General features: G+C 48.3%; 1 pseudogene across 2 annotated transcripts, besides 5 other annotated features; it reads right to left on the reverse strand.

The window, feature by feature from the left end:
• Positions 1 to 1,358: 1,358 nt before the first annotated feature.
• Positions 1,359 to 5,912, reverse strand: PRSS42P (serine protease 42, pseudogene; annotated as a pseudogene). Of its 2 annotated transcripts, NR_160554.1 has the most exons (5): positions 5,699 to 5,912; positions 5,337 to 5,493; positions 4,764 to 5,023; positions 3,693 to 3,853; positions 1,359 to 2,310 (listed from the first exon to the last, which is right to left on the reverse strand). The product of NR_160554.1 is annotated as a serine protease 42, pseudogene, transcript variant 1 (transcript). The 2 variants fall into 2 exon arrangements; NR_148409.1 differs by lacking the exons at positions 3,693 to 3,853; positions 5,337 to 5,493; positions 5,699 to 5,912 and adding an exon at positions 5,528 to 5,640 and having other exon boundaries at positions 1,360 to 2,310; positions 4,809 to 5,023.
• Positions 1,874 to 2,003: an enhancer, noted in NCBI's record as "active region_19799". NCBI's record gives its function as "activates an Ori minimal core promoter by ATAC-STARR-seq in GM12878 lymphoblastoid cells {active_cell/tissue: GM12878}" and the evidence as "EXISTENCE:reporter gene assay evidence [ECO:0000049][PMID:35858748]".
• Positions 17,554 to 17,653: a silencer, noted in NCBI's record as "silent region_14295". NCBI's record gives its function as "represses an Ori minimal core promoter by ATAC-STARR-seq in GM12878 lymphoblastoid cells {active_cell/tissue: GM12878}" and the evidence as "EXISTENCE:reporter gene assay evidence [ECO:0000049][PMID:35858748]".
• Positions 17,704 to 17,983: a silencer, noted in NCBI's record as "silent region_14296". NCBI's record gives its function as "represses an Ori minimal core promoter by ATAC-STARR-seq in GM12878 lymphoblastoid cells {active_cell/tissue: GM12878}" and the evidence as "EXISTENCE:reporter gene assay evidence [ECO:0000049][PMID:35858748]".
• Positions 18,076 to 18,809: an enhancer, noted in NCBI's record as "H3K27ac-H3K4me1 hESC enhancer chr3:46887749-46888482 (GRCh37/hg19 assembly coordinates)". NCBI's record gives its function as "activates a minimal SCP1, AML or CMV promoter by ChIP-STARR-seq in naive H9 embryonic stem cells {active_cell/tissue: H9 hESC(naive)}" and the evidence as "EXISTENCE:reporter gene assay evidence [ECO:0000049][PMID:30033119]".
• Positions 20,510 to 21,337: an enhancer, noted in NCBI's record as "H3K4me1 hESC enhancer chr3:46890183-46891010 (GRCh37/hg19 assembly coordinates)". NCBI's record gives its function as "activates a minimal SCP1, AML or CMV promoter by ChIP-STARR-seq in naive and primed H9 embryonic stem cells {active_cell/tissue: H9 hESC(naive and primed)}" and the evidence as "EXISTENCE:reporter gene assay evidence [ECO:0000049][PMID:30033119]".

Genomic DNA, 23,264 nt, shown 5'->3' on the forward strand with positions numbered 1-23,264 from the left:
TGGGTGCTAGGTGAAAATGCATGTTTCTTACAAACAGTAGCAGTTCTCCTGTCCAGCCTACTGCCACTGGACCACCCCTGTATATAAGTCCCCCCAATAAACCCTATGTCTCATTCACTGCCTCCAGCTCTTTTCTTCAGCCTCGTGGATACAGTGCCATCCCTATTAGAATCAACAGGGCTCCAGCACAACACCTTATGCCAATACAACTCTGTCTTAATTACCATACCTTTATAGTAGGTCTTGAAATCCAATAGTTATCTGCATCGGTTAATTCTAGGTCCAATATGGATGAATCTCAAAAACAATGTGTGGAAAAAATATGTGGAGGGTAAGAAGCCAGACACAAAAGAGCATTTGCTATATGGCTCCATTTATATGAGGTTCAATAACATGCAAACCTAATCTGATAGTAATCAGAACGGTAGCTAGCCGCCAGTCTCTACCCTTTTTTTTTTTAAACAGAGTCTTACTTTGTTGCCCAGACTGGCATGCAGCAGCACAATCTCGGCTCACTGCAACCTCGACCTCCCAGGTTCAAGCAATCCTCCCACCTCAGCCTCCTGAGTAGCTTGGACTACAGGCATGCACCAACATGTCCAGCTAATTTTTGTATTTTTAGTGAAAAGACGGGATTTCACCATGTTGTCTGGGCTGGTCTCGAACTCCTGGGCTCAAGAAATCTGCCTTCCTCAGCCTCCCAAAGTGCTGGGATTACAGGTGTGAGCCACTGTCCAGCCTCTACCAATCTTTATTCAAGTAAATATTCACATGCACCTTCTTTCCATAGGCAAAACACACTAATCCTCTCCTAAAAGGAGGCAACTTCAATGTTTCATAAACAAAGAAGGAAACTGGAAGCAATAATGGGCTCTGCATCATATCAAAGAACTACCCTGGGACCCATAGGGTAATGAGGGAAATGAGCCAGAATCAGTAAGCACCCCAACCTGTCATCTCCCTAACCCTCAGCCCTGTGTTTTCCATAGAGCCTGATTAAAGTGATCTGGTGCTCAAGGCTTGGAGAAGGAGGGGCAGAAATAGGCAGAAAATGGAGGTTGCAGTTTGGGGTGTAGTGCCCTGACCACTCTCTTGCTTCCAGTTTCTCTCGCTTCCTCCTTCCCAGATGCAATGACTAGCAAACTCAGCTACAAAGCTCCATGCGGAAATGCTGATGGCCATGGAGAGCATAGGCAGCAAAACCCAACTGTCTAAAACCATCCATCCAACTCACAACTGGGCAGGCAGAGACTTCCTCTCTCACTCTTTAGTTTAAAAAGAATCATCAACATCTTCCTAAGCTTAATGTGAGGTAAGTTGTCTTCAGTGTCCCCAATAACCAGGCCAGTAGACATGGAGAACATAGGAGACTCTCCAAACATTTATTTAGTTGATTTCTGAAAACTCTGCACTCCATAACTGCCTCAATACAACTTGTAGTGTCTCTGAAAGTGGCCACTAGGGCACTGAGGAAGGGGGTGCCAAGAATGGGTAGCCCCAAGAGAGTTAGTGTGGCAGAGGCTGTCCACTCACAGATGGATCCACACTGGGCTGCAGGGGAACTTCTCCCAGCCCCAGACAACTGAGCCTAGAGTGGAAGTCCCAGGCCTCACACCTCTGCAGGGACCTGGTAACGCCTCCTTCACGCTGAGCAATCACCCAGCTGGCTGGTTTCACAAAGTCTTAGGTGGGAGCCCTGAAACCAGAACCACATCTAACACTTGCTTCACTGTTGATGATGTCTCTTCTTTGATAGATGTTCCCCCAGATACTGATGAGTCACTGTGGCCCACCTGGCAGGGAGGCTGGTCCTCTAGCTGGAATTAGTTCACCCCCTCCTTCCCACTAGCCAGAGCACAGCCCTGGTGCAGGCATGGCTGAGGCAGGTGACCAGAGCACCAGGCAGGGGCACTTTCCAGGCCCCAGTCTCCCTGCTGTGCTCTATTGTATGGATCTCCAGAGGGCCCGTGGATTCCAACTGGGATTTTCAGAAACGGCATTGAGAAGGAGTGGGAGGTTGGAGGAGAGGCCTAGTATGAGACTCAGAAACAAAAGGGGAGTGGGCTGGGGTGATCACTGGGCCACCAGGATGCCCAGGGGCAGCACCAAATGCAGGACTAAGATGAGGAACACTGCTGGATACAAACAGGTAGCCTGATCCACCACTGCAATCAGCCACTTACTGTAGACACCAATTTCTGTATAAACTCCAGGCAACCCTCAGCGACCACAGCCGATGCCCCAGCTCACAATCCCTACCTGGACCCATGTGTCATTATATTCACAGGCCAAGCGGCCCCCAGAATCTCCCTAGAGAAAGAGAAAGAAACGAACTTCAGAAATTGAATAGGATCTATATCAGAGCAGACTGACTGTACTACAAGGTGTTGAGGAGACAGGCACACATAGGGCTTCCTCTGGCACCTCAAAGGCCCCACCACCCAGATTTCTGTGAATATGACAACTGAATATGTGAGCATGGGAACTAAAAAGTTAATGGGAAAACTTTAATATGCTCTGAGAAAATGATGGCTTCTCATTTTCCAAACTATAGTGGCTGTTAAACGTCTTGAACCTCTGCATGGCAGCCCACTAAATCCTCATATTTAGCCTGAAGTTTCTCTACAACTCCTAACCTACATAGCCAGCTCCCTCCATATTTTCAGTTCCACTCTCAGACAGCCCCACACCCTCCAACTCAAGCAGAATTCTGCGTGTCCTTTCCCAAACCTCCTCTGCTGACCAATCATCTCAGTCAGAAAAACAGGGTCCTCCTGAACCTCTCCCTCACCCCCACCCCTACATGCAGTCAGTCAACAAGAATGAATGGGTCAAACTCAAAAACACCTTCACCGGCCTCCCTGCCCCAGGCACTGCTCAGGACTCCATTTATCACAGCCTAGGTGATGAAAACAAGCATTTAGACTTCTATCTATGCACCACACAGCTCAGGGAGTCATTTATCTAAAAGGCAAATCTAATTATGCTCACCAAGCCTCCCTCCCAAGTCCTGCCAGAGCAAAATCTAGAAACTTGGCACCGCACTCCAAGCCATACACATTCTGACTCCAACCCACTTCTCAGCCACATTTGCTGCCTCATTTCTCCAAATGTGTAAAGTGTCCCTTAACATGAGAAGTTCCCTCAGACCTCTGAGCCACTGTACATGCTATTCCCTCTTCTTACAATGCTGTTTTCCTCTTTCCAAGAAATCCAAATACTCATTCTCTAAGACCCAGCTCTAATGCCTCCTCCTCAGGAAGGCAGCTTGGTGCCGAGGGAAGAGCATGGGTCTGGGAGTTGGTACTCACAGGAGGATCCTGAAGTAATGTCCTTGGATATCACCTTTCACATTCATCCAAGGGGTGTGATGTTTATGTTGCGGGGTTGTGGTGTGGTTTAACTGAGATAATGAGGGTTAATGTCCACACTGGCATGGTGAGCGTCACATAGGAGAACCTCAATTAGTACAGCATATGTTATTAGCATTACCCACCCCAACTTTCCCACATGCCAGCAGTGCCCCCAGGCAGTGCAATCTCCCTTTTGAAAGAACAGACCAGGCCAAGTTAGGGCAGCCATGGCAGGTTTCCCTCTATGAATCTCTTTAACTCAACTAGGTGTGAATAGAGGAAGCAGCAAATAACCCAGACTCTGCCATCTGAGAATGGGGAAAGGATCCATGAATTTACTTGACAAGAATCCTTTCCTTGTTCTTTATAGCCACAGACCATCCCTTTTATTATTACATCCTTAGTAGATGACAAGGCCTTCTGTATTATCTTATTACATTCCTCATAGCACATGATGTATTGGTCCACATCCTGAAGAATTTCTGATGCAAGTTTCTCTCCTATCAAAGAAGATCATCAGATCTGCACAAGTGGACAATAGGCCCCTAAGCACCCAGCATCCCTCTGGAAAAAGGCCAAGGCAGTGAGTATTATTCTCATTTGACACAGAAGGCCCAAAGTTGACATGGAGAGAGGAGGACGTAAGAAACAAAACCAAGACAGGAACAGGAAGAATATTTCAGGAGAGGGAGAGGCAAGGCCTTGCCAACCTGAGAAATGACAACCAAGTATCGTCACTGTAAGTATCAGTAGTAATAGTGAGAGTGTGTCCTGTGCATCAGTAAAGCATCTTTACTGTCTAGAGCAGGATCACAGACTCTCAGGCAGAAAATGCCCCAGAAGTACCAAATCCAGCTTCTCCCCAGGGATAGGAGGGCATACACCCGACCCATAGGAGTCTTCTGGTTCTCTCTACATCCCCAGGAACAGAAAATACCCTATCCACCAAAGCAGGTGCTTCGAATGAGGAGCAGCTCTGACTGGCAGACAGCTCATCACCCTCTGAGCTGTTCCTGGGGAGAACTTTATAGCATCTTGCTCTGTCCAGGGAACCTAAAAATCCCCCAAACCAGTCAAGCACAGTGCCCCCACGAATCCACAGAAGGAGATGTTGCCCATGTGTTTCTTCTTCTCCTGGCTGAGCAACTCCAGTTCCAGGACAGAAGTCTTCCTAAATGGCTGCCATCAAATATTTGTGTTGCAACAAAAGAACTCAACCCAGTTTCTGATGTCACCCAAGCCAACCAGGAACCATGACCCTGACTGCTGCTAAACTGCGTGCCCCTCACCACCTGCCACTCACCAGGCAGTTTGCCTCCCTGCCCCTTTCTGTGGCCTTCATGTCTACTCCAGGAGTAAGGGTGCCTCCTCTCTGCCCCAAGTTTGCTTCCTGCCTTGAAGTCTCACCACGTTCTGGTGTTTTGCCCCATCCGGTCACCCAGCACCTGGTCCTACCTTCCACCTGGAAATTCTCCTGAGGGATGCAGATAGGCTGGATGTTTGAGGTAAAATTCACAGGATGTTGGAGCTGGAGAAGGGCAAGGTCATTTCGAATGGTTGTAACTGTTGAGAACTTAGGGTGGACAAAAGCTCTTTGGACTGAGACCACCACACTTGTGTTTTCATTATAGACACTCCGATCTCCCATCTTGACACTGTAATGGAAACGGCTGTGGAAGAGATGCCTCTAAGAGAAGGCCTGGGAAACATCCTTTGTGCCTTTTCCATACATTTCCAATGTTTCTGAAACTGGCCTCAACCTCCCGGGCCACTGTCCCTACCACCCCATCGCCATCACCAAAAACCCTTCCTTGATCACTCTCAAACTTGGTTTGTCTGCCCGACTTAGACATGCCTACAGCAAGACGACCGATGCACTCCGGCTTCACTGTGAGTTTTGTTTCTTTGTCGCCAAATTGCCGGGGCAATGGAACTGTGTGTGCTTGAGGGGGCCGGCCCCCAGCCCCGCGTGCCGCTCCTCACCTGGAAATGCAGTGGCCTGCCGTCAGCACCCACGTGGCGGTGACCAGGGTGCCGCCGCAGATGTGCCTGCCTTTGGTCCTCACGCTCACCTGCCAGGGCCACCTCCCTTCCTCCGCGTCCACTCCTCCCACGATTCTCAGAGGGGTTCGGCCACACACTGGGGTGAGGATAGTGTAGGATGAAGAACTCACTCAAAGACACAGGAGTTGACTCCCCCGGGCGCCCCGACGACAGCCAAGAAGGAGGCCATGTCCCCCGGGGCTCCCGAGCCACGCTTCAGATTCCCCGGGCCGCGGACCGCAGGCTCCCAGGTAGCACCTGCCCCAGCCTGGCGCCCCAACCTCCGCCTCCGGGCCTCCCACGCAGTGAGTCACCTGGAAAGGACGTAAACAGATTGAGTGGGGGGCCCGCTTCAGGTCCTGGAGCCGGGCTCGCTTCGGGGTTCTCGCCGCCCTCCTCTGAGAGGAGAGGGGACGGGAGGCGTGGCGCCGCCATGCCCGCCCAGTTCTGCCCGGGCCAGGGCTGAAGGAGCAGAAGCCACGCCAGGAGGCCCCGGGAGCCGCCGCCAGAGGACATGTCATGGATACCGGCTGCCCCTCTCCAGACAGCTCGCGCCCCTGCCAGGGGTTGGCTGGAACCAGGGCGCCTGCGAGGGACGAGGGGGCAGGGCCGGTGCCTAGGGGGTGGAAATGGCCGAGCCGACTTGTTGGACCCCGGTCCTGCTAGATTCCTTGTCTGAATGGGAAATGTCGCCCTCGCGGTTTCACTCAGATCCTCACTCCAGACTATGTCCAGCCAGAACCCTGCCCAGGGCCAAGGGATTAGGGTACTTCTGAGGAAACTGCCCCTGATGGAGAACTCCCGCTTTAGGGTCGGCACTTAGGAGGCTGGTGCGATGCTGCCCCTGACCTTGTAGGCATGGTACCTGGCCTGGAGCTGGTCAGGATGGGCCTTCTGGGAATTCATGGAGGAGCCCTCATTCTCCATAGCGTCCTCAAATCAGGGCTTCATTCACCAGACCTAGATATCGGGGTAGGAGGGCTTTACAGATTAAGCAGGCTAGACAGAGGAGTGGGCTGCTCTTCTGTTTCAGTCGCAGGGACATCTTTTAAACAGCCCGCAGGTCAATCCACTCTTATTAGCTCTGTGTCCCTAATGTCTAATCTGTCTGTTCTGGTAGCTCATCCTTTTGTCTGCTGCCCAAGAGCTACTACCAAGCCTCTGCCTCTCCTGGCTTCATCTTTGTTGAAGTTGGAGGAAAAACAACAACAATAACAACTTTTGAATTGCTGTATGTTCCACTTTTTCCTGTCCAAAAGTGGACAGCCATGACAGTGTTTTCCACGGATGCCAGTGCTCTCCTCACCAATTTATTGTTCTAAGTCTTGGTGAAGGGGGCATTCTCTATGGCCCTCTTGGAGCTCAGAGGAGTGGGCGAGCAGGTCACACATCATGAATCCATCCCAATATTTGCCTCTCTCTAACTCTGTCTCTACATTGAACAAGTGTAAGGACCAGCCCTACCAGGCCTGTGGGTTTTTCTCCTCGTGTGCGGAGACAAGAGATCGTAGAAATAAAGACACAAGACAAAGAGAGAGACAGACAGCTGGGCCCAGGGTACCACTACCACCAAGACGCGGAGACCGGTAGTGGCCCTGAATGCCTGGACACGCTGCTATTTATTGTATTCTAGGCAAGGGGGCAGGGTAAGGAGTATGAGTCATCTCAAATGATTGATAAGGTCACGCAAGTCACGTGTCCACCCGACAGGTAGCCGAGGGAGAGAGGAAAGGCAGCATACATCAGCATTTCTTCTATGCACTTATCAGAAAGATCAAAGACTTTAATACTTTCACTAATTTTGCTACTGCTATCTTCTAAGAACTTAAAAGGAGGAGCCAGGCGTACAGGCAGAATATGAAAGTGGACAAGGAGCATGACCACTGAAGCACAGCACCACAGGGAGATGTTTAAGCCTCCGGATGACTGCAGGCAGGCCTGGCCTCCCACAAGAGCTGGTGGAGCAGAGTGTTCTCTAACTCTTCCAGAGAAAGGGAGACTCCCTTTCCCAGTCTGCTAAGTAACAGGTGCCTTCCCAGGCACTGGCACTACTGCTAGACCAAGGTCTGCTAAGCAACGGGTGCCTTCCCAGGCACTGGCGCTACCACTAGACCAAGGATCTCTCAAGAAGCCCTTATCTGGGCATGACAGAGGGCTCACGCTCTTGTCTTCTAGTCATCTCTCACAGTGTCCCTTCAGCTCCTAATTCTGTATGGCCTGGTTTTTTCTAGGTTATAATTATAAAACAGAGATTATTATAATAATAGAACAAAGTAATACTACAAACTAATGATTAATAATAATCATACCTATATCTTATTTCTAGTATAACTTTTCTTAATTTAATTATTTTCTTTATTATACTGGAACAGCTTGTGCCTTCAGTCTCTTGCCTGGGCACCTGGGTGGCTTGCCGCCCACAAACAAGGAATTTCTGACATATCACACTTGGTAGTCAAGTGTGGGCCACCACTGAGTTCAGGTTTAAAACAACCAAGTGGCAGCCAGGTGCGGTGGCTCACACCTGTAATCCCAGCACTTTGAGAGGCCAAGGCAGGAGGATTGCTTGAGCCCATGAGTCACGAGTTCATATCCAGCCTGGGCAACATGGAGAAATCCTGTACCTACAAAATATAAAAAGATTAGTTGGACATGGTAGGCTGTGCCTGTAGTCCTAGTTACTCAGGAGGCTGAGGTGGGAGGATCCCTTAAGCCCGAGGGTTCCAGGCTGCAGTGAGCCATGATCGCACCACTGCACTGCAGCCTGGATGACAGAGCAGGACTCTGCCTCAAAAATAAAAATAAACAAGTAAACATGTAAAGCAAGGGTGTCCAATCTTTTGGCTTTCCTGGGCCACACTGGAAGAAGAATTGTCTTGGACCACACACAAAATATGTTAACACTTATGATAGCTGATGAGCTTTAAAAAAAATCACAAAAAATTAATGTCTTAATAAAGTTTATAAGTTTTTGTTGGGCCACATTTAAAGCCGTCCTGGGCTGTATGTGGCCCATGGGCCGCAGGTTGGACTAGCTTGATGTAGAGTCACTTTCACCTGCCTGTTTGGTATCTACAAATGGACACCAGCAAACTGAATTCAGAATTTCTGGTAAATGTACTCTTGGTAAATTTAGGCCCAAGCCTCTCTAATCAAGAGTCTGTAGAATCCAGTCCTGTACATATCTCCCATGTTCTTTCCCATGAAAGTTAGCAAAATCTTGCAGTTCTTTTTGTAAGGAAGCCTTCTCCCCCTGGGTTATACTTTGTATCTGTCCTTCTAGAGTTTGCTGGGATCTGACTGTACTTATTAGGTGTAGAGGCAGTAAAGATTTGCTGGGGTGGTACGGGTCTAGAGGCAGTAGACCTTTAGACCTACTAGAGGTAGGTATGGAACTGGCATGCCCTTACCATGTAACTTCCTCAGTTGAAGTCAATACAGTAGCTCTAGGGTAGAGAAGACCACCCTTGTCAAAACAGAAGATGCACTGCTTCTGTTAGCAAGGGAGGTTCAGTGTGGCTGGGGGTCAGATGTCCTAAATCTATCCAAATATGCCTCATTGAAATTTTCATGGTCTCACTCTTTCCCAATCAATGCCCTGACTTTTATGTAAGAATTATAATGAAGCTGTTAATTCCATTTATGTTGAAATTCAGCAGCCCAAAAGATGAGATACTACATTTTATTTTCAACTACATCAATCCTGCAGTGACAAGGAATATGAAATTATTTCAGGAAATCATAGAAGCTTTTAATCCAAGAAACTAAAATTCAATATTGCCATTTGCCTTCTTTAAAATTTTCGTGTAGTAATAAGTAACCAGTCCTCCCCACAGTCCTTATATCTTTCATTTCCACAATAACATCTATTGTGGCAGCCTGTTATCTTTTAATGAACTGTGAAAGGCAGAGTGTGGCCTAGAGTAAGACTTTAGAATTTGTGGGAGCTGCAAACGTGAAGCAAATTTGCATCTACTCACAGGCCCTTCTCCACAAATTTCCACCAGGTCTTCAAGAGAAAGATTAGAGGAAGGGCAAGAGACCAAAGAAAGCCTTGCCCGCAGTGCAGTCTTTGGGGAGGTGAGCAAAAGCCACTGTGGGAAAGTCATGACATCTGGCCTGGATCCTCTACTCTGATTCCCAGCAACCCCACCACCACCACTAACACTACCACTACCACACACACACACACACACACACAAAATACACCAGCCCTATGCCACCGGGGTGGAGAGGGGGCATAAAAATGTCACTTCCAGGGCACAGGTAAAAGCCTGTTATAGCTGGGTGAAGATAACATTAAATACCCTCTATTTCTCGGGGAAGAGTAGCAAACTGTCCTGCTCCAAACTTTTAAAGACTATCTATTCTGGGAGAGGGGCAAGGTCACTTAGAAGGCCCCATGACTAACAGCCAAGAACATAGCACTTGCCTAAGAGTGAGGCTGAGCCAGAACAATAAAGAAAGCCCCCCAGTACCAGGATAGCAAGTGTCCAGGAACAAGTAACAGCAGTCTACTGCTGGAAGAGTGAGGGTAAAAGCACAGAAAGATATCCTCTCTTAGACGTAGGCACAAAGAAAAGACCAATAACTGTGATTTGAACAGACACTGAGAAAAACTCTCCAACAAACCAGCCACTAAGCAAAAAAATAATACTGGAAGAATTTGAATTATGTACTTTTTGAGAGTAACCATACTAACAACAAAACCTGACAGAGTTGTCTCAATGCCTCCTCCTTAAAGAAAAGGCATGTCCATTTTTGCACATAAATAGTGTTTACCCAAGTCTCCACTAGCCTTCACAAGAAGGCTTTAGCTTTCAACCAAAAATTATGAGACACATAATGAAACAAAAAATAACACACTATCAAGAGACAAACCAATCAACAAAACCAGACTCAGCTGTGACATGGATTTTGGAACTATTACACGGGGAGTTGAAAACACTATGATGGATATATCTGTAGACTCTAGTTCATAGGTCAACAAACGTTTTCTGCAAAGGGCCAGATAGGAAACATTTTAGGATTTGCAGACCATGAGGCAAAACTGAGGATATTATGTAGGTTCTTATATAGCAACAAGACAATTTTCCCACAAAATTATTGTCATAATACTAATTGCATACAATATTCGCTGATTCAGATCTACTAATGAGAGGAATAAAATTGTTTTGAGGGGAGTATAACATTTTACTTATTGGGGTTCAAGTTAGTGTTCTCTATTGTCAAAATCAATTGCACATTTTCTGTTAATGGTGAGCTGTAATGATATTTTGTGCACTTCATCTTTTCTTTTTTTATTTTTTATTTTTACTTTTTTAAGACAGGGTCTCCATCTGTTGCCCAGGTTGGAGTGCAGTGGTGCAATCTTAGCTCACTGCAGCCTCTGCCTCTCTGGCTGAACATGGGGGGAAATAGTAAATTCTCTAAACTGTGAAGCAGTCTCCCAGCCACACACACATCCAGTGGTAAATAGTGGAAGTAAAACTGACTAAAGGAGCTTACCTACAACCACCAACAAATAAGTGATGCATGAAAATTGAGAGGGAAAATGGCTTCACATAATTATCTCACCCAAGTCACTAAACAAACAAAAGACCAAACAAACAACAAAACAGGTTGGGGCCAGCAAAAGGCAGGAATCAGTGCCTGGGCTTGCTACAGTATATCATCTAAGATGTCTTCTTCGAAATGGAAAAATTACAGAACAGGCAAAGAAACAGGAAAGTTTGGTCACTTCACAGGAGAAAAAAGCAAGGTAATAGAAATTATCTTTGAAGGGCCCCCTATCTTTGGCATAGTAGACAAAGACTTCAAAATGACTATTTGAAGTATCTTCAAAGGACTAAAGAAAAGCATGTTTTAAAATTAAAGGAAGGTATAATAATGGTGATTTATAAAATAGACAATATTTAAAAGAACCAAATGGAATCAAGTGAAGAAGCACAATAACTAAAATGAAAAATTCATGAGATGGCCTCAACAGTGGATTTGATTTGGATCAGTAAACTTGAAGATAAGTCATCAGAGATTTTACAATATGAAGAAACAAAAACAAAACCTCAATGTAGAAAGATGAACAGAGGCTGAGCATGATGGCTCATGCGTGCAACCCCAACACTTTGGGAGGCTGAGGCAGGAGGATTGCTTGAGACCAGGAGTTTCAGACAAGCCTGGGCAACATAGCAATACCTTATCTTTTAAAAAAAAAAAATTTTTTTTTTTTTTAGACGGAGTCTCGCTCTGTTGCCCAGGCTGAAGTGCAATGGCATGATCTCAGCTCACTGCAAACTCCGCCTCCCGGGTTCATGCCATTCTCCTGCCTCAGCCTCCCGAGTAGCTGGGACTACTGGTGCCCGCCACCATGCCCAGCTAATTTTTTTGTATTTTTAGTAGAGACGGGGTTTCACTGTGTTAGCCAGGATGGTCTCAATCTCCTGACCTCGTGATCTGCCTGCCTCGGCCTCACAAAGTGCTGGGATTACAGGCGTGAGCTGCCGTGCCCAGCCACAAAAAAAAATTTTTTTAATTAGCCAAGTATGGCGGCATATGTCTGTAGTCCTAGGTGCTCTGGAGGCTGAGGAGGGAGTATCACTGAAGCCCAGGAGTTTAAGGTTACAGTGAGCTATGATCATGCCCCTACACTCCAGCCTGGGTGACAGAGCAAGGCCCTGTCTCTGAGAAAGAAAGAAGGAAGGAAGGAAGGGAGGGAGGAAGGGAGGGAGGAAGGACGGAAGGAAGGAAGGAAAGAAGGAAGGGAGGGAGGGAAGGAGGGAGAAAGGAAGGAAGAAAGGAGAAAATGAATAGAGCCTCAGAGAAATGTGGAACACCATTAAGCACACAAACATAAACATAATGGCAGTACCAGAAGGAGAGAGAAAGGAACAGAAAAATATTTGAAGAAATAATGGCTAGAAACTTCCCAGATTTTATGAAAAACATTAAGCTACACATCGAACAAGCTTAATGAACTCCAAGTAGAATAAACTCAAAGAGACCTATACCCACACATCAGAGTCAAAATGTTGGAAGCCAAAGATAAAGAGAACATGTTGACAGCAGTAAGAGAAAAATGACTCATCACATACAAGGGAACCATAATAAGATTATACCTGAGTTTTTACCAGAATAAAATGGAGGGCTGAAGATAGTGTGACAACTTACTTGAAGGACTGAAAGAAAAATGTTCAATCCAGAATGTTATATCCAGCAAGTCCATGTTTTTAAAATGAAGATGATGAAAGTGAGACATTACTACTGATTTTACAGAAATAAAAAGAATTAAAATAGAATACTATGAACACTGTACACCAATAAACTGAATAACCTAAAAGAAATGGACGAATTCCTAGAAATACACAATCTACCAAGATTGAACCTTGAAAAAATAGAAAATCTGAGTAGACCTATAACTAGTAAGGAGACTGAATTAGTAATCAAAAATCTCCCAACAAAGAAAAACTGTGGATCAGATGGCTTCACTGGTGAATTCTATCAAACATTTAAAGAATTAATACCAACTCTTCTCAAACTCTTTCAAACAATTCAAGAGGGGGAAACATTTCCTAACTCATTCTATAAGGCCAGCACTAGTCTATTACTAAAGCTAGACAAATACATTATAAGAAAAAACTACAGGTGCATATTCCTTATGAACATTGATGCAAAACTCCTCAGTCACATACTAGCAAAATGAATTTAGCAGCATATTAAAAGGATTATACCCAATGGCAAGTGGAATTTTTCTTTTAATGAAACTAGAGATGGGCTCTCACTGTATTGTCCAGGCTGGTCTTGAATTCCTGGACTCAAGTGATCCTCCTGCCTTGGCCTCCCAAAGTGCTGGGGTTGCAGGCATGGGCCACCATGCCCAGCTAATCAAGTGGAATTTATTCCCCAAAAGCAAGGATGATTCAATATACAAAAATCAATCAATGTAATATGCCACATTAATATAATGAAGGGGAAAAAATCACTTGATGATCTCAATTGATACAGAAAAGCATTTGACAAAATTCAACACCCTCTCACGATAAAAACACTCAATAAACTAGGAATAGAAGGAAACTTCTCCAATGTAATAAAGACCACATACGAAAAACCACCATCTAACATCATGCTCAATGATTTAAGACTAAAAGCTTTTCTCTCAAGATCAGGAACAAGACAAGGATGCTTACTTTCACCACTTCTATTCAACATTGTATTGGAAGTTCTGGCCAGAGCAATTAGACAAGAAAAAGAAACAAAAGGCATCCAAATTGGAAAAGAAGAAGTAAAATTATCTCTGTTTGCAGGTGCCATGATCCTATATTTAGAAAACCCCAAAGACTCCACCCTAAAACTCCCACAAAAGCCTGTTAGAGATAATAAACAAATTCAGAAAAGTTGAAGGATACAAAATCAACTTATAAAAATTAGTTGCATTTCTATAACTGTGAATGATCAAAAAGGAAATTAAGAAAACAATCCCATTTACAATAGCATCAAAAAGAATAAAACACTTGGGAATAAATTTAACCAAAGATGTGAAATACCTGCATACTGAAAACTGTACAACACTGCTTGATGAAATTAAAGAATACTTAAATAAATGGAAAGATATTCCATATTCGTGGATTGGAAGACTTAATATTATTAAGGTGACAATAATTATCCAAATTAACTCAATTCAATCCCTATCAAAACCCCAATGACTTTTTTTGGCAGATATAGAAAAACCGTCCTAAAATTCATTTGGAATCTGAAGCACCCCAAATAGCTAAAACAATCTTGAAAAAGAGAACAAAATTGGAAGACTCACACTTTCTGATTTGAAAATTTACTATAAAGCTATATTAATTAAAACAGCATGGTATTGGCATAATGACAGACATACAGACCAATGGAATAGAGAACCCAGAAATAAACCCTCTCATATATGGTCAAATGATTTTCAACAAGGATGCCAAGAGCATTCAATGGAGAAAGGACAGTCTTTCCAAAAAATAGTTCTGGGAAAAATGGATATCCACAAGCAAAAGAATAAAGGTAGAACTTTACCTTACATCATATACAAAAATTAACCCAAAATGTATCAAAAGCCCCATGTACGAGTTAAACTATAAAACTCTTAGAAGAAAACATAGGAGAATATCTTCATGATATTGGATTTGGCAATGATTTCTTGGATATGACACCAAAAGCACTGCCACAAAAGAAAAAAGTAGACAAACTGGACTTAATAAAAATTGGTAGCCTTTGTGCTATGAAGGACACTATCAAGAGAGTAAAAAGATACCCCACAGAATGGGAGAAAATATTTTCAAATCATATACCTGATAAGGGATTAATATCCAGAATATATAAAGAACTCCTACAACTCAAAAACAAAAGGACAATTCTATTTTAAATGGGCAAATAAATTTGTAAATAAACCTCTTCTCCAAAGAATATAAATAATGGCCAGTAAGCACATGAAAAGATGCTCAACATTGAGACACTCAATCATTAGGGTAATGCAAATTAAAACTAAAGTGAGATAACACTTCATACCCACCAAGATGGTTAATTAAAAAGAAACGAGCAGAACAGAAAATAACATGTATTGGAGAGGACATGAAGAAATTGGAATGTCGTGCCTTGCTGGTAGGAATGTCAAATGGTGCAGTGACTGTGGAAAACAGTATGACAATTCCTCAAAAAGTTAAACATAGAATTACCATATCATCCAGTAATTCTGCTTCTAGGTATATACCCAAAAGAAGTGAAAGCAGGGATTCAAACAGATACGTGTTCGTGTACCCAAAATCTGTGAATATGTTACTTTACGTTGTAAAAGGAAATTTATAGATGTGATTCAGGTTCAGGACCTTGAAATGGGGATATTATCCTGGATTATCTGGAAAAGCCCAGTCTAATCACATGAGTACCCAAAAGTGGAGAATGTTTCACAGGGAGATAGGACTACCAAAGGGTCAGAGAGATGTAACATTGCGGCTTTGAAGATGGAAGAAGGGGACCAGAAGCTAAGGAATGCTGGTGACCTCTAGAATCTATAAAAATCAAGGAAACAAATCCTCCTCTTGGCATCCAGGAGGAACTGGCCCTACCTGGCTAATTTTATTTATTTATTTATTTATTTATTTATTTATTTATTTATTTATTTAATTTTTGTAGAGGTGGGGTTTTGCTATGTTGCCCAGGCTGATCTCGAACTCCTAGGCTCAAGCAATCTTCCTGCCTCAGCCTCCCAAAGTATTGAGATTACAGGCATAAGCCACCAGACCCAGCTGCAAATGTTCTGTAACAACCATTCTCAGCTCATGGGCTAACAAGAGGCGGCCAGATGTGGTCTATACTCAAATATTGCCTCCTCAATGAGGCCTTCCTAGGACACCCTCAAAAACTGTGTCCCCCATCCTTCCAAATCCTCCTTATCCTCCTTTAATTTTTCCCATAGTACTTCGCACAGTCTAACATACTATGTATTTTTCTCACACATATTACGTTTTCTGGGGCAAAGATTTTTACGACTACTTTCAATGGTGAAAATCGCAATTACTTTTGCACCAACCTAATACATTGGGTATCTTCCTCTTTCATAAATTCTTCCTCTTGTAAACTTTATGTGGGCAGATTTTTTTGTCTGTCTTGCTTATTGCTGTATTCCCAGCACCTGAAACATGTCTGGCACTCGATAAACATCTGTTAAATGAATGAATGAATCAGTGAGTGAATTAATAAATAAATAGATCCTATATAGCCTAGCAGTTAGGAAAAATAAAGAAATAAATAAATAGAAATGAAGTGGAGATAGAACACATTGATACCTGTAAGTGCTTAGTGCACTGCCTAGCACACACTAAGTGCTCAATAAATATTAGTCACCCTTATTCCTTATTGTAGTTATAGTTGTTACCTTCACGAGGAGCCTCAAGCATCTGAAAGGTGCAGGCACCAGAGCAAGCAAAATCTCCCAGCCACTATCTGTATCCAGCCGCCTGCCTCCCTGTCTACTGCATCTCCTCTCCTGGTTTCCCTGCTCCTTCTGGGGCTGCTGGTCTCCCTCTCTGCTACTGGAGCCTGTGTCCCCCTCTGGTTCCCTCAATCTTTGTCCCTCAATTACAGATGGGACTTCTGGACTCTCCACAGTGCCTCAGGCAGAGTCCCCCTAAGATATCCTGAACCCGACTGCCTGCTTCTACTCTCCTCCATTCTGTTCCCCCCATTCCACCCCTTCACTTGTTCCAGCGTCCAGGCTGTTGCCTTAGGATTCTGCTCCCACCCTGAGACCCCCCACCCCACCAACGCCGCCACATTCCACCTAAGCGCCCATCCTCTAGAAAGCCTTTGCTGACACCCTCCCCAACCTTTTGGTGCCCACAGCCTCCCCCCGACCCCCCACCGTGCTGATCCCTTACGAAGCACTCTCATTCTGCTGGAACCTCTGTGCTGTCCCTGTCTCCCCCAAGGCTGACAATTTCCCAAGCTCCCCCTCCTCCCACAATGCCCCACCCAGGAAGCCCAGGGCCTGATCTCTGGCGCCTCAGCTCCTGAGACCCCCCTCCCCCTGCCGTCTAGAAACGTTCCTGGAATCCACCGACCCTCCCCACAGTGTTCCCTCTCTAATCCCCACAACAGTCTCAACCCTACAGTGGAGGAAATGAGTGGCGAGAGGTTAAGCAATTTGCCAAGATCACACGAGGCAGGAGTAAAGCGGGGCTTGAACCCAGGGCCCTGGGCAGGGCTGGGGTGCGGGGGCTGGCAGGGTATCGACCCAGGGTACACAACACAGCAGTCAAACAGATAGACAGAGTTTTGGATGAGCCAACGGCTGAGATGGGACGAGAAGCCAGCGCCTCCTCCCTGCGCGTCTGTCTGCAGGCCAGGGGCTCACACGGGAGCCGGCTCCTGCCCCCTGGCCCAGGGCCAGCCGTCATCCCCATGAGGTCAGCCACAGCTGGCGATTTCGGGGAAATACCAGCTCCTTATTAAAAACAGGCGGTGGTCAGGCCCCCGCTGCTTTCCCAGTAGAAACTGGAGTGTTTGTTCCAAAAGGAACAAGAGTGGGCAGGGCCTGGCCAGGGCCCTGAGGCGGGAGGCTTGAGCTGCAGTACCTGGTCAGGGTGTCCCGGGAGCTGCGGGGAGAGGAAGTGGAGGGGACAGCCCCAGTCCGGCAGTCGCGGGTGGGGGCTAGCAAAGGCAGCCTGTGTGAGGGGCGGGCACCGGCCCGGGAGGGGATGGTCCCACAACACCTCGAGGCTGCGCCGACCAGGGAGGGGTTGTGGACTGTGACCTCCACAGCTGCACCCCCCACCCCGGCCCGGGGACAAATCTCAGGCAGTGGGCAAGGCCTGAGAAAAAGCAGGCTCATGGCGATAAGTCCCTCCTCTTCCGGGGTAGGCAGCCGCCACCCGCGCCCCTGTGCCCAGAGCCTGCAGCCCCCGCCTCCAGGAGATCTGCGGAGGCCTCCCCTGCAGGGGGCGCGAGTGGGCCATGCCTCCCCCGGCCCCGGCCCAGGCCCCGGCCCACCCCGCCACTCTCCGCGCCAGCACAGGCCGCCCTGCATCTGGAGCGAGTTAGGGTTGGCGGCCTGGCGGGCGGCGGCGTGAGCTCATCCCGGCCCGCCCCGCTGCGGTTTCCACGCGGCTGTGAAGGGAACAGAACACAGAAACGCCGCGCCGAGGGCCGGGCCGGAGGAGCACAGAGGAGCGGCCGCTCCTCCCGGGATGTGGGTGGGAGTGGGAGAGGCGGGAGTGTGTATCACTGGCGCGTCGCCGAGGGAGGCTGAGCCCTGGGAGCCGGCCACCAGCATGCGTCGCTGGTGTCACCGTGTGTGGTGGCTTGCGAGGGTGTGTGTGTCCCGAAGGGAAAACACTGTGCGTGTGATAAGTTGCACACCTCCCAACACACACTCCTCGTTTTACAAAAATCAGCAGCTGAGGGCAGAGGACAAGGAGGGCTGGCCAGTGCACAAACTGGGGCTTGGCTCCCACCCGGGGCCTGTGTCCCTGAGTGGATGCAGAAGCTCTGGACCAACCAGCCCAGGTGTCTGGCAGGGCCCAGGGCCCACCTCCCCAGACACACACATACTTTTCCTGGTCACTGCCCCCCTCACACTCCCCCCAAGGAGCCCAGGCATCTTCTCCTTCAGGAAGGAGAAAGGAACCCCTCACACCAGGGTATTGGCTAACAGAGACACTCACAGCCCACACGGAAACAGGAACACATACCTGGACACAGGCTCACACCTGGAAGCACACCCAAGGAAAGCACTCCTGCTCTTGGAATCCTAGTTGGGAGAGCCCACCAGCAGGCTGTGAGGCAGTGGCAAGGCTTGAAAAGGCTTCTTGGTGAGATGCCCCTTCCCTCTGCCAGGGGCTGGGAACAGGAAGGCTGGAGGTCACTGAACCTTGAACCTTAGCGGCCCCAGCACCTTGTGATGGGCCCTGAGGGTACCGCCCTGTGTGAAGGGCCTCAGAACCCCAGCACTCCCAAGGACCGGAGCCAAGGTGGGGATATGGGCACTGTAGTGATATTGATCACCAGACACCGGGGGGGGAGCTGGGCTGGAGTGGGTGCTTCGGAGCATCCAAGGTTCCCTCCACCCATCAGGCCAGTCCTCACCTTGGGCACTCGCCTCAGGGACCTACTATCCCAGCTTCGGGTAGATGTCACCCAGCTGCACTGGGAACTATGGGAGGTAGCCCAGGCCATGCAGCACCTGCCAGCCTTCCCGCCTGGGCTCACAGGGCTGTCATGCTCCCATCCTCCTCCCTTCACCCTACAGCTGGGCCATGGCTCTGAGACAGTGACCTTGCCTGCAGGATGGCACACATGAGTCTTTCACCCCTCCTTACCAGCTATTTCCCCTGGGCCCAAAGCACAGGATTGCAGAGGGCTGGTGGGGCTGAACTTGCCAGGAGCTTGGGTCCTCCATGTCCCCACCTGTGAGATAGAGAGGACACCCTATCCTGACCACTCCACCACAGGGTGCCTAAACTGTAAAGTGCATCTGCAGTACCCACGGGGGTCTTCAGCTCCCAAAACACTGGGGCAAGCTGGGTGAGGGATGTTATTTAACTGGAATGGCTATGGTTTGCAGAACCAGAGCTTCCAAATTACTTAGCAAAGCATGTTTGCTTTTTAATTAACATGTGCTTGAAAAACAATGGTTTTCATTAAAGTGGGTGGGGGAGAGAAGGGACTGTAGGGGAGAATATTTCAAGGAGCTCCAAGTTCCAGGCCAGACTTCTTAAAAATAAAGTGGGAGTCTTGCCCCAACCCGGCAGAGGCTGGGAGGCAAGAATCCCTGCTGGAGAGCCCAAGGAACAGCCCTACTACCTGCCTCCACCACTCTCCGGCTCCCTGGCTGAGAATTTGCCCTTTCGCTGATGGCTCAGTTACTTACCTACTATTCCCTGGGCCACTCTGGGAAGGGGAGGTCTTTTTTTTTTTTTTGGAGATGGAGTCTCACTCACCCTGTCACCTAGGCTGGAGTGCAGTGTCTTGATCTCAGCTCACCGCAACATCCGCCTCTGGGGTTCAAGCAATTCTCCTGCCTCAGCCTCCTGCATAGCTGGGATTACAGGCACGCACCACCACGTCCAGCTAATTTTTCTATTTTTAGTAGAGACAGGGTTTTGCATTGTTGGCCAGGCTGGTCTTGAACTCCTGACCTCAAGTGATCTGCCTGCCTCGGCCTCCCAAAGTGCTGAGATTACAGGCATGAGCCACCGCGCCTGGCCGGTGTGGTCTTTTATAAAGCAGTCTTGGCGTTCAATGAATGAGGTCCACCAGGCAGATAAGCAAAAGGAAACAGCATGAGTAACAACCTGAAAGCATGGGCCTGGAAGCCACTGATGTCCAAGCCCCAGGGAGATTGGGGCAGGGAGGCTGAGCTGGTGCCAAGGACAGAAGGGTGGGAAGGGAGGATGACCTCACATGGAGCAGAGGGGATATGTGAGGAACTGGCCAGAGGAAGTGGAGGGCTGGGAGACTGGAAGCAGGACGCATTCCAAAGCCTCAGGGCTTGCTCCCCAGAGGCTGATGGGCAGGACTGCAGGTTCAGTCAGTCCAACAGGGGGCAGCGTTGACTCCATCATCCAGCATGGAGAAGGCATGCCATCGGTGTTCAATAAATGCATGTAGAAGGGTGAGAATGAAGAGATGATCCCTCCGAGTCAACCACACCTTCTCCTATTTCTGGCCTTTTGGGGACAGGGTTAGCACCAGCGTGCAGCCTGAGGTCAGATGTCAACATAGGGTTGGGACACATTTCACCCATTCACCCATACAGACCAAGGGAAGGTGGAGGGGAAGCTTCTGGGGAGTGAGGGCATCCCCAGGGGTCGGGTCAGATGCCCAGAACCCCCAGCTCCCGGCAGCCTGCCCAGGACCCTGTTTCTCATTTGGGGCCTTCTTGCTTCCCCCAACCCACACCCCCACATGAAACGTGCCTGCCTATACTTAATTCATTATGCTCGGCTGGGTGGGAGGCCTGGCGAGCAGGGTTTTTTTTTTCCCCTGAGCTCAGACATTCCTCACTTTATTATTCTCCACATTTCAAAGCAGCTGTCGCCTCCCCCAACCGCCCCCAGCCCGAAGCTCAGAGTCCAGAAGGGGCCTCTCTAGGGCTCAGAACACCAGAGTCTCCAACACCTCCAGCCCGGCACAGGAGGAGAATTAAGGCCAGAGATGGATAGGGTAGCACCCCAGGGAGACCTGCAGGGCTCTTCCCCAACAGTCTGCACCTGAACTTATCCTCCCCTAAGTGCCGCAGTCACCCTCCCATAACACTGTCTTCTTGCCTCTCTGCACCCACTCTGTTCCACCCTCCACACAGGTGACCACAGTGGTCCCTTCATAACACAAACACAACCCCTGCCTCCCCCACTGGAGCAGGTGCTAGAAGAATTATCAAAGTCCCTGCCCTGCTCAGGCCCCTGGCAAACTGAGCCCTCACTGAGTCAGTGGCCTTACAGAGGGCAAGGCCCATCCCTAGAAAATAGCAGGGCCAGGGTCAGCCTAGTGAACCACCAAGGGGCCAGCCAGGGGAGAAACAGTTCTGGAGACTCAATTTCAGAGAAACGGGGAGGCCCTAGACAGATTTCTCCCCTACATCTGAGAGCTGCCCATGCAGAGCTTCCTTAGCAAGGGCTAAGATCCCTGTTGCATTTAAGCAAGCAGCAGCTTAGTCAGACTTGCCCTGGAAAAGAGGTTGGAGGAGGGACTTTGGCCCCAGGAGAAAATGGGGGAGGGGTCCAAGTGGGGCAGGCAACCCGGGGGCCTGGAAACTGAGTCTGGATGTCCCTGTCCCTGTCAGCACTCAGGCTGTCTTGCCCACACTCACCCTATCACTGGGCATGCCCACTCAGGCCTGGGGCTTGATGGTAGCATTCTCGAGTGCCCAGGAGGGTAAAGGTGACTCTGTAATGTGGCCCTGGAGGGTTCTTGGAGTCCACTGCAAGCCTGGGAGCCGAGAGCCCTCCCATACGTCCAGCTCTACTCTGTGAAACACCCCAAGGACTCCATCACTATGAGAAAGGCCCCCTCTTGAAGACGGACTGCACAGAGCCTGAGTCAGCCCTCAGAGCAGGCCCCTTTCCAGCAATAGAGCTGTCCCAGCCTAGAGCTTGGGATCCGGCCATGTCACCCTCCCAGAGCTCCCAGCCCAGGGCCCCCCACTGAGCCTGGGCCATACAGAGGGAAACCTTGCTTCCCCTCTCATCCCTCAGCCTCAAGATCCATCCACCTTTCCCGGGGCTAGAAGCCATTGAACATTTGCCTTCCTGCCACAGCAGCCACCATCCCACACCTTGTGCTGCAGCTATGGATGAGAGGTCACTGCCATGAGCTTCCCCACCTCCAGCTGCAGGCCCCAGAGGTGAAAACAGGTATGGACATCCAGAGGTTTGGGGACACTCAGAATCTCAGGATCCCAGATACTCCAACAAAGAGCTGAGGCATCTTCTCCCTTGTGCCCCACCACCCCCTAGCCCTGACCTCACAGCACCTGGTTGTCCCACAGGCTCATCAGCACCTCCCTGCCAAGTTCCCATTCCCCACTCCATCCCAGTGGCAAGGCTGGGCCTCTGTTACTTATCACAGGTCGGCACAGTTAGCACCTGAAAATTACATGATGGATGGATGGAGGGAGGGAGGGAGGGAGGGAGGGATGAAAGGAGGGAGAATGGATGGATGAATGGATGAATAAGCTGATTCAAATGAGCCTTGGGCCTGGCAAAGATCTGCTCCATTCAAGGGTCTCTATCCAGGGGTTTTGGGAAATGCTGACTACAACAAACCGTGAAATTTCTTCAAAACTTAAAAACTGACTTGTAAGGTAAGCTCTTATTTTGCCAAGTAGAGATATGGAAAACAACAGCTACCGTCGTTATTGTTTCTGTAAACAGAGGGATATTCTCAAGGCAAAAGAAAGTAGGCAGGATGCAATCTTGGAAGAAAGACAGGCATTGAAGATGCATAGATTGGGCTTCTGGAAAATATACAAGATAGGACATTTTTTCAAAACTTTCTTGGGTATTGTGATAAGTTGGGCCTTAGGGCTTGGAAATGCCCAAGTGCTTCCAATCTCCACCAGGGTAAGAGCCCCTTCTGCAGCCTTTCTGGCTCGGATTGGTTCCCCTCTGCTTGCATATTCCTCAGAACAGAGGGCTCACCACCTCTCCCAGTTAGCTCAGGAGCTGACGATGACATTCTAGAGCACCTTTAAATGCTTCCAAGCCTACCACGGGAGAGAGGTAAGGAGACCAGGAGCAGGGTATGATGGCAGAGGTGTTGAGGGGAGGGAAGACCAAGGCTTCCAGCCCCAGGGCATAGGTGTGGTAAGGTAAAGGGCATACTCATGTTTAGCTGGACCAA

Source organism: Homo sapiens, chromosome 3 (genome assembly GCF_000001405.40).
Source record: "Homo sapiens chromosome 3, GRCh38.p14 Primary Assembly".
Taxonomy (NCBI): domain Eukaryota; kingdom Metazoa; phylum Chordata; class Mammalia; order Primates; family Hominidae; genus Homo; species Homo sapiens.